At 48.5% G+C, this 9,766-nt stretch overlaps 1 long non-coding RNA gene across 1 annotated transcript; it reads left to right on the top strand.

The window, feature by feature from the left end:
- The first annotated feature begins 590 nt into the window (after positions 1 to 590).
- LINC00303 (long intergenic non-protein coding RNA 303) lies at positions 591 to 9,411 on the top strand. Its single transcript, NR_027902.2, has 6 exons — positions 591 to 764; positions 1,462 to 1,591; positions 4,268 to 4,395; positions 4,772 to 4,887; positions 7,989 to 8,151; positions 8,606 to 9,411. It is a non-coding gene; the product is annotated as a long intergenic non-protein coding RNA 303 (long non-coding RNA).
- The last annotated feature ends 355 nt before the right edge of the window (positions 9,412 to 9,766 follow it).

The raw sequence follows: 9,766 nt of genomic DNA, 5'->3' as shown, positions 1-9,766 counted from the left end.
CCAGGGCAGCCCTTGGAGATTTATCTGTGGGTAGTAGAACTTCTTCTCTTTCCCGTTCTTTTTCAGGGAGGTTTTTTCCAGCAGGCCCCTCTGCACCTTGGGGACAGAGTGGAGCTGAATGTCCCATGTAACTCACAGTCCTGTCTTCCACCTCCCACTCATCCCTCCACTGGGAAATCTCAATGTATTTTTAGGGAACCTCATTCCTCCCGCCCCTGTTTCCTTTCCAGGGCATGCCTGGGAAAGTTCTTAGGAACTCGTGAACCGAGGCTGCTGTTAAGGACGCTGTCTTTGGCCTGGGCTTTGGTCCCTGGCCCAGGTCCCCAGGAGGGCTGAGATGCCCCGTGGCAGTGAAGAGAAGAGTGAGAAAAATCCATGTGACGTGTCAGGGAGGGGCAGCTGCCAGAGGCCCCCAAGGAGGGAGAATGAGTAAACAGCCCAGCCACCACCCCCAGTCCCCCTGTTCCACTTGGGTGCAGGCGGTTCAGCTTCAGAAAGCTGGGGGTGGGGCAGGCGGGTGACACATGCTCCTCTGGGAGTGGGATAAATAATCTTCAGCTGCAACAATAAAGATCAATTATGACCTAATCACTCCGCCCGATTCCAAAAGCCCAGGGGGTGGGCCTCGCCCTTCCTCTCCCTCCAGGTTTAATTATCTGAAGAGTCTTGGACTTTCATTTCTTGTTTTTTGCTTGTTTGCTTGTTTGTTTGCACCTGGTTGATGTATAAGTCTTGGACTTTGGGAGACCCAAAAGAGAAGGAAGGTCTGCAAATAATTAAGCCAGGGGATGGCCTTCAGGACAGGATTGTCTGTGGGCATGGGGTGGGGGTAGAGGATATGGCAGGTTCCCCCTTGGTACATCTGTGTGGGTTGGGTATGGGGTGAGGGCAGAGAACCAGAGCAGGGGAGAGAAGGCAGCTGAAACAGACAAGTGCTTCAGGCACAGGAAGAAAATGGAGTGAGACCCGAGAGGCCTAATTCACTGACCAGTAAGGCAAGGAACATGGGAATCCCTTGTACCCAGAGTTCTCCACAGTGCTCATGGTACATTTATTACAGATGTTGTATTTTTAAATATTTACATATTTATTTATTTATTATTTCGAGATGGAATCTTGCTCTGTTGCCCAGGCTGGAGTGCAGTGCCACGATCTTGGCTCACTGCAACCTCCACCTCCCAGGTTAAAGAGAGTCTTTTGCCTCAGCCTCCCGAGTAGCTGGGACTACAGGTGCCCGCCACCACACCTGGCTAATTTTTGTATTTTTAGTAGAGACGGGGTTTCACCATATTGGCCAGGCTGGTCTCGAACTCCTGACCTCGTGATCCGCTGGCCTCGGCCTCCCAAGGTGCTGGGATTACAGGTGTAAGCCACCATGCCTGCCCTAAATATTTATTTATAAAGATTTAATATAAATATAAATATAAATATTTAATATTTGTAATGTTACAAATATTACAGGTGTTGGCAATATCCTTGAAGAGACTAAAAGAACTCAGAACAACACTGAACAAGCCAGCAGAGCCATCAACTCACCCCTACAGTCTCCATACACAGACTCCATGAAAGCATTGGCCATCAGCTCTCACTGGTGTGGATATGTCACCAGTGGGGTAGAGTTGTTCCTCTCTCTGACACTGTATTAGTCCATTCTCACACTGCTATTAAAAAACAAACAAACAAACTTGAGATTGGGGTAATTTATGAAGAAGAGAGGTTTATTTATTTATTTATTTATTTTGAGACAGAGTCTCACTTTGTCGCCAGGCTAGAGTGCTGTGGCGCGATCTCAGCTCACTGCAACCTCCAACTCCCTGGTTCAAGGGATTCTCCTGCCTCCGCCTCCCAGGTAGCTGGGATTACAGGCGCGTGCCACCACGCCCAGCTAATTTTTGTATTTTTAGTAGAGATGGGGTTTCACTATGTTGGCCAGGATGGTCTCGATCTCCTGACCTCGTGATCTGCCCGCCTTGGCCTCCCAAAGTGCTGGGATTACAGGCGTGAGCCACCGCGCCCGGCCAAAGAAGAGAGGTTTAATTGGCTCATGATTCTGCAGGCTGTATAGGAAGCATCATGGCTTCTGCTTCTGGGGAGGCCTCAGAATGTTTCCAATAGTGGCGGAAGCCAAAGTGGGAGCAAGGAGCTCCACATGGCCACAGCAGGAGGAAGAGAGAGAGCAGGGAGGTGCCACACACTTTCAAACAACCAGATCTCAAGAGAACTTACTATGGTGATGACGGTACCAGGAGGATGATGTTAAACCATGAGAAACCACTCCCATGATCCAATCGCCACCCACCAGGCCCCACCTCCAGCACTGGGGATTACATTTCAATATGAGATTTGAGCAAGGACACACATCCAGTTCATATCAGACACCATCCTTGGCCAAGTTGAGCCTGTTCAGCAATGCCTCTTGCCTCTACCCAACGGCAAGTGGTGCCCACTGTGTGTCATCTCACACAACTTGCCCATGTCCCCCTTCTGTGCAAAAGAAATCACTGAAATATACGTGTATCCACAGCAGTGGCAAAGATCAATTTGACACAATGATCAAAACCTGTAAAGGATTCATGGCACACAGGTTAAAAACTCCTGCTCAGTTTGGCAGGGCCCACTGGTTTCCCTAAAGGAGTTTTGTGGTCGCAATTCATTTGCCTGGGATGTCTTCCCTGGTCTTTGTCTTCAGATAGAGGTAGCTAGAAGGTCCCTAATGGGATTTCCACATCTCCTCCACCATGTTTGCCCCTACATTCCTAAGCAACCCCTTTAGAATCATGGCCTATTAGAGCCAGAAGGAATAGTAGAGGTGACAGAATCCATTTTACAGATGAGGAAACTGAGGCATGGGGCAGGGAAGTGGCCTTCTGTCTTCTAGTTCGGTGCTCTTTTCTTACCCAAAACTGGCTCTCCTGACTCCCATCTGCTTTCTTTCTTTTTTCTTTTCTTTTTCTTTTCCTTTTTTTTTTTTTTGAGACAGAGTTTCCACTCTTACTGCCCAGGCTGCAGTGCAATGGCACAGTCTCGGCTCACTGTAGCCTCTGCCTCCCAGGCTCAAGCAATTCTCCTGCTTCAGCCTACCAAGTAGCTGGAATCACAGGCATGCAACACCACACCTGGCTAATTTTGTATTTTTAGTAGAGACAGGGTTTCACCATGTTGGCCAGGCTGGTCTCGAACTCTTGACCTCAGGTGATCCACCTGCCTGCCTAGTCCTTCCAAAGTGCTGGGATTACAGGCATGAGCCACTGTGTCCAGCCTCTCATTTGCTTTCTTTCTTTTCTTTTCTTCTTTTTTATTTTTTTCGTTGAGACAGTGTTTCACTCTTGTTGCCCAGGCTGGAGTACAATGGTGCGATCTCAGCTCACCGCAACCTCCACCTCCTGGGTTCAAGAGATTCTCCTGCCTCAGCCTCCTGAGTAGCTGGAATTACAGACATCCACCACCATGCCTGGCTAATTTTTTAAATTTTTAGTAGAGATGGGGTTTCACCATATTGGCCAAGCTGGTCTCAAACTCTTGACCTCAGGTGATCCACCTGCCTCAGCCTCCCAAAGTGCTGGGATTACAGGCGTGAGCCACTGCGCCCGGCCCATTTGCTTTCTAAATTATTTTCCACATTGGTTTTTGCTAGTTAGGTATATCTTTATTAGTGATAGTTTTACATTTTCTCCCATATCACATGGTTTTTTAAGACAATGAGGGAGGCTCACCTTGGATTAAACTGTATCCCCAGGCAGCCCACAGGGAAGACAGAACACAGGTTGCCTGTGAGCCTGAGGCCCATCCCCCACCCTAGCATTGAGGCTGCACTATGTTTTAAAATTACCTGGGTATATTTATATATTAGTGTTCTTTTCTATTTTAAAAATGCTTTCCCATTGTGCTTGGCTCACCAGGGCAGTGCTGTTCTCCTGGTTGTGCCGATAGGCTTTTCAATCAAAAACAAGAAAAAAACCCACACATTTCTATTTCTTTATATATCTCCGCTTTTTCTGGAAAATAAATATTTGTTGAATTGAATTGGGAAAATTTTTTAGAAAAATGTTTTTGTACCTTGTGTGTTCTGCTGTTATTGTTGTTAAATAAGTGCTTTCAGTGACAGGGCTTTTGTTCTGGAAAGGGGGTTTTTTGTGTTGGGGAGGGGAGATATTCTACATCCAGGAGGCTATGTCAGGCGTTTTGGAGTGGGAGTCAATGCCTGCAAGCCAGCAGTGGCCACTGTCTTCTCATCTTTCTCTCTTCTCTCTTTTTTCTCTCCCACCAGGTTTCTGCCCCAAATTCACACACTCCCTCCTATCACCAAAGCCACCCGCCACCGCTGGCCTCCTGCATGCTGTGGGAGGAGAGGAGGGCAGACAACGTTGCCTCCCCTGACTCCCATCGCGCGGGCTTGTGAGTCCATGGAGCGCAGTTGTCCAGGGAACTATCCGATGCAGCATGAGAGGAAGGTGATGCAGCGGCATCCCACCTTGAGATGAGAGAAAGCTGTTCTGGGCTTCCAGTGATTGGCAGCTGAGGTCACTCCTTTGCCCATACCCCCGCCCCGAGACTGTTTCCAGTGCCCCAAGTTCACCTCAAGGATCATTGCACAGCAGAAGTGAGTTTTACTTAGGTTGAGACACTCACATATAGGGAATGCAGAATAAATCCCATCCCTTCCTCAGCCAGCAGGGGCAAGGCCCTGAGAAGGAGAACATCGTGTAGGTACAGGCCAACCCCAGGGGCCTCTCACAGGGCCCTCCTCATCATCACTCACCTCTCTATTCAGCAAACACTCAGTGAGACAACCATGGACCCTAGGGATGCAACAGTGAAGGAGACGCAGCCTTTCAACACCTGGCAGGGCAGAGACACTTCAACAGTCATTGCCAGCCCCAGTGGACAGTAAGTGTGATGGCAGGGAAGCCCAGCATGCGACACTTGCACTTAGGAGGGACAGATGACAGGTGGCTGACCTTTCTTGCTTGCTTGCTTGCTTGCTTTTTTTCTTTTTCTTTTTTCTTTCTTTTTTTTTTTTTGAGACAGAGTCTTGCTCTGTCACCCAGGCTGGAGTGCAACGGCACAATCACGGCTCACTGCAACCTCTACCTCCCGGATTCAAGTGATTCTCCTGCCTCAACCTCCTGAGTAGCTGGGATTACAGGTGTGCGCTACCACGCCTGGCTAATTTCTGTATTTTTAGTAGAGACGGGGTTTCACCATGTTGGTCAGGCTGGTCTCAAACTCCTGACCTCGTGATCCACTGGCCTCGAACTTCCAAAGTGCCGGGATTACAGGTATGAGCCACCGTGCCCGGCCAGCTGACCTTTCTTAAAAGATGCGTAGGTGTTGTTGGGTGCAGTGGCTCACACCTGTAATCCCAACACTTTCTGGTAGGCTGAGGTGGGCAGATCGCTTGAGCCCAGGAGTTTGAGACCAGCCTGGGCAACATGATGAAACCCTGTATCCACAAAAAATACAAAAATTAGCCAGGCAGGGTGGCACAAACATGTGGTCCCAGCTACTAGGGAGGCTGATGTGGGAGGATTGCTTGAGACTGGGAGGTCAAGGCTGTAGTGAGCTGTGGTCGCACCACTGCACTCCAGCCTGGGCGACAGAGCAAGGCCCTGTAAAAAAAAAAAAATTAATTAATTAATTAAAAAAAAAAGATATGTAGGTCTCAATCATCTCAACAACTGAAGAAGAGAAGGAGAAAAGGGATTCTAGGAGAAGGAACAATGTGTGAGACAGAATGACTGAAAAGCAACTTCAAGTCCTGCAGAGTATGACAGGAAGCATGGGTGGCGGGGAAGCAAAGGCAGAAAATGAGAGCCATTGGGCTCATCTATTTATGCCAAGCACTGTTCTGTGTGCTGAGGGCACCATGCTGAGCAAGAGGGTGCTCCCTGCTCTCATGGAACCTCCATTCTAGTGGGGGAGACAGTAAAAACCAACCAAGCAACCTAACAGAGTCGTAAATGCCGTGCAGAAGATGACTGCGGAAAGGCGGGGCGCGGCAGCTGGAAGAATCTTTCTTTCTTTTTTTTTTTTTTGAGACGGAGTCTCGCTCTGTCGCCCAGGCCGGAGTGCAGTGGCGCGATCTCGGCTCACTGCAAGCTCTGCCTCCCGGGTTCACGCCATTCTCCTGCCTCAGCCTCCCGAGTAGCTGGGACTACAGGCGCCCGCCACCACGCCTGGCTAATTTTTTGTATTTTTTAGTAGAGACGGGGTTTCACCATGTTAGCCAGGATGGTCTCGATCTCCTGACTTCGTGATTCGCCCTCCTCGGCCTCCCAAAATGCTGGGATTACAGGCGTGAGCCACCAAGCCCGGCCTGCTGCTGGAAGAATCCTTCTAGAAAGAGTTGAGTGATAAGAGTCGGCCATGTGAAAATCAGGCATCCCAGGCAGAGGACACAGCTATCAAAAATGTGCCAGGTGACACAGCTGTTTAAGAATTTTTTTTTTTTTTAAGAATTTTTTTTTTTGGCCAGGCACGGTGGCTCACGCCTGTAATCCCAGCACTTTGGGAGGGAGGCCGAGGCGGGCAGATCACAAGGTCAGGAGATCCAGACCATCCTGGCTAACACGGTGAAACCCCGTCTCTACTAAAAATACAAAAATTAGCCAGGCGTGGCGGCGTGTGCCTGTAGTCCCAGCTGCTGGGGAGGCTGAGACAGGAGAATGGTGTGAACCCAGGAGGCGGCGCTTGCAGTGAGCTGAGATCGTGCCACTGCACTCCAGCCTGGGCAACAGAGTGAGACTCCGTCTCAAAAAAAAAAAAAAAAAAAAAAAAAAAGAATATATATATTTTTAATTGAGACCGAGTCTCACTCTGTCACTCAGGCTGGAGTGCAGTGGTGCGATCTCAGCTCACTGCAACCTCCACCCCCTGGGTTCAAGCAATTCTCCTGCCTCAGCCTCCTGAGTAGCTGGAATTAGAGGTGCACACCATCATGCCTGGCTAATTTTTGCATTTTTAGTAGAGACAGGGTTTCACCATGTTGGCCAGGCTGGTCTTGAACTCTTGACCTCAAGTGATCCACCTACCTCGGCCTCCCAAAGTGCCGGGATTACACGTGTGAGCCACCATGCCTGTCCTGTTTAAGGACATTTTTATGGGGAACTGCTTTAAAAGACTGCCCCCCTGCGAAACTCTCACCTCTCTAGTCTCTTGAAAGAGTTATTGCTGCATAACAAATTACCCCAAAACTTAGTAACATACGCCGGCATGGTGGCAGCATGGTGAGACCCTATCTCAACTAAAAATACAAAAATTAGCTGGGCATGGTGGTGCACACCTGTAGTCCTAGCTACTCAGGAGGTTGAGGCATGAGAATCACTTGAACCTGGAAGGTGGAGGTTGCCCTGAACTGAGATTGTGCCACTGCACTGCAGCCTGGGTGACAAAGCGAGACCTTGTCTCAATAAAAAAAAGAAGGAAGGAAGGAAGGAAAGAAAGAAAGAAAGAAAGAAAGAAAGAAAGAAAGAAAGAAAGAAAGAAAGAAAGGAAAGGAAAAGGGCATTGCAGATGTGATTAAATTAATAAATCTTGGATTAGCAGGTGTGCGCGATGTCATTACAAGAGAATTTTTTTTTTTTTTTTTTTTTTTTTTTAGACAGAGGCTGGCTCTGTCACCCAGGCTAGAGTGGTGCAGTGGCGCGATCTCGGCTCACTGCAAACTCTGCCTCTCGGGTTCAAGCAATTCTCCTGCCTCAGGCTCCCAAGTAGCTGGGATTACAGGCATGAGCCACCACGCCCAGCTAATTTTTGTATTTTTAGTAGAAACGGGGTTTTGCCATTTTGGCCAGGCTGGTCTCAAACTCCTGACCTCAGGCGATCCACCTGCCTGAGCCTCCCAAAGTGCTGGGATTACAGGCATGAGCCACTGTGCCCGGCCCAGCCACAAGAGGCCTTATAAGTAAAAAGAGGGAGGCAAGAGCATCAGAGAAAGAGATGTGTTGATGGGTGCAGAGGTTGGTGTGATGTGATTGCTGGCTTTGCAGATGTAAGGAGGCCACCAGCCAAGAAATGCTGTCAGTGCCTGGAAGCTGGAAAGGCAATGAAATGGATTTTCCCCAGAACCTCCAGGGAGAATATGGCACAGCTTCTACCTTGATTTTCACCCAGTGAGACACATTTTGGATTTCTGACCTAAAGAATTGTAAGGTAAATCTGTGATCTTATAAACCACTAGGTTTGTGGCAATTTGTTATAGCAGCAACAGGAAATTATTATGGGGGTATTGGTGCCATTAAGGTATGCAGGGGTAGAAGCAGATTTGGGGACAGGAAACACTTATGTTTTAGGCATGATAAGTTTATGGAGCCCAGGTGCAGTTGTGCAATAGCTGAATATCTGAGGCTGGAACTCAGGAGGAAAGTCTGGCTGGCAGAGGATGCTCAGGAACTAACAGGGTTTTAGGAGAAATGGAAACCGTAAAAATGAATGAAGGATGAGACTGAGCTGAAATGGAGGATGGCAGAGGAGCCCTTGAAGGAGAGAGAGAACAATTATCCCAGATTAACTACTTCATCTCCTAACAAAGGCAGTAAAGTGATAGCATAGTGAAGACTTTAGTTTCATTCTACTGATTCTCTGGGGTCTGTTTTTTATTTTGCAGGCTGCCTGGATCCCCAGAGTTTGTCTGGAAAGCCTCTTGAGATGGGGTTATGTGCTCCGAGGATCCCAGGAGGAAGGATGGGGCAAGAGCAGACAAACCTATGCCTCTACAGCAGCTGTACCGTTGTCCTGGGAGTGAGCCCCAGCCGTGGCTCAAGGCACACGTGCCTCCAGAGGACAATCTGGGATGCTCAGGGGACAGAGAGGCAGAGGGACTATCAGGGTGAAGCTGTCTTTTTCACTTGTTTGGCACTCAGCCCAGGGCCTGGATTTATCCTGCACAAAATGAACAGTGCAGGGCCCTTCATCTGGGGAAAGCCTAACAGTGGCACCCAAGCAGAGCTAGGAGGTCCAGGTCCTCCAGTGGCAGGGAGGGAGGGAGCTCCTTTCCAGGTACTTTCTTTCCTAGATAGAGGATCTTGGTGACTCATCTCCCAGTTCAACTGTAAAGGCTAAGGGCCTCCTTGAAGTTTCCTTCCTTATGAAAATGTCCATAGCAAGTTTGTCACTTAGGAATGTTTTTCAATGATAGGAAACAGAAAAGCCAACTAGTAGGAGATGAAATAAGTTGAGATTTTTTTTTTTAATAGCAAGAAGTCTGGATATTGTCAGTAGCCGGCATTGGTTTAGGACACAATAATATTGGGGATGATGTCCTGTATTTTTCTTGGCCTTTTTCTTACAGTCACAATGTGGATGCCATGGCTCAAGGTATCACATCCCTATTCAAGGCAGGATATAGGAGGAAGGGATGGTGCCAGATACATCTGTCCCATTTATTAAAAAGCAAGCTTCTCCAAAACCCAAGCAGGTTTCTGCCTATCTCTCACTGCCAGGACACTGTCAAATGTTCCCTACAGCTACAGAAGATGAGAAAAGAAGATACTCATTTTTCCAGCCTCTAGAGTGGAGACTGGTAAGGGAAAGGAGGTTCAGAATGGGTGTGGGGTAAGCCAGTCTATTGTTAGATAAATGCTTGTTGACCCAAATTGCTTCCCCTTAAAAAAGACAGGTTGTTCCATGTGAAGGCATCCGGGGTATAAAGGATCTCTCACCCATGTCAGAGACCCCTCACCCACCACACCTGGGCAGCCCCTGATGGTCTACCCAGGCACCTGCTGCCATGGACTATGGCCACTAACATCTCTCTCTCTCTCTCTCT

This window comes from Homo sapiens, chromosome 1, assembly GCF_000001405.40.
Source record: "Homo sapiens chromosome 1, GRCh38.p14 Primary Assembly".
In the NCBI taxonomy this organism is placed as follows: Eukaryota; Metazoa; Chordata; class Mammalia; order Primates; family Hominidae; genus Homo; species Homo sapiens.
This window is presented reverse-complemented; position numbering and strand designations above follow the sequence as displayed.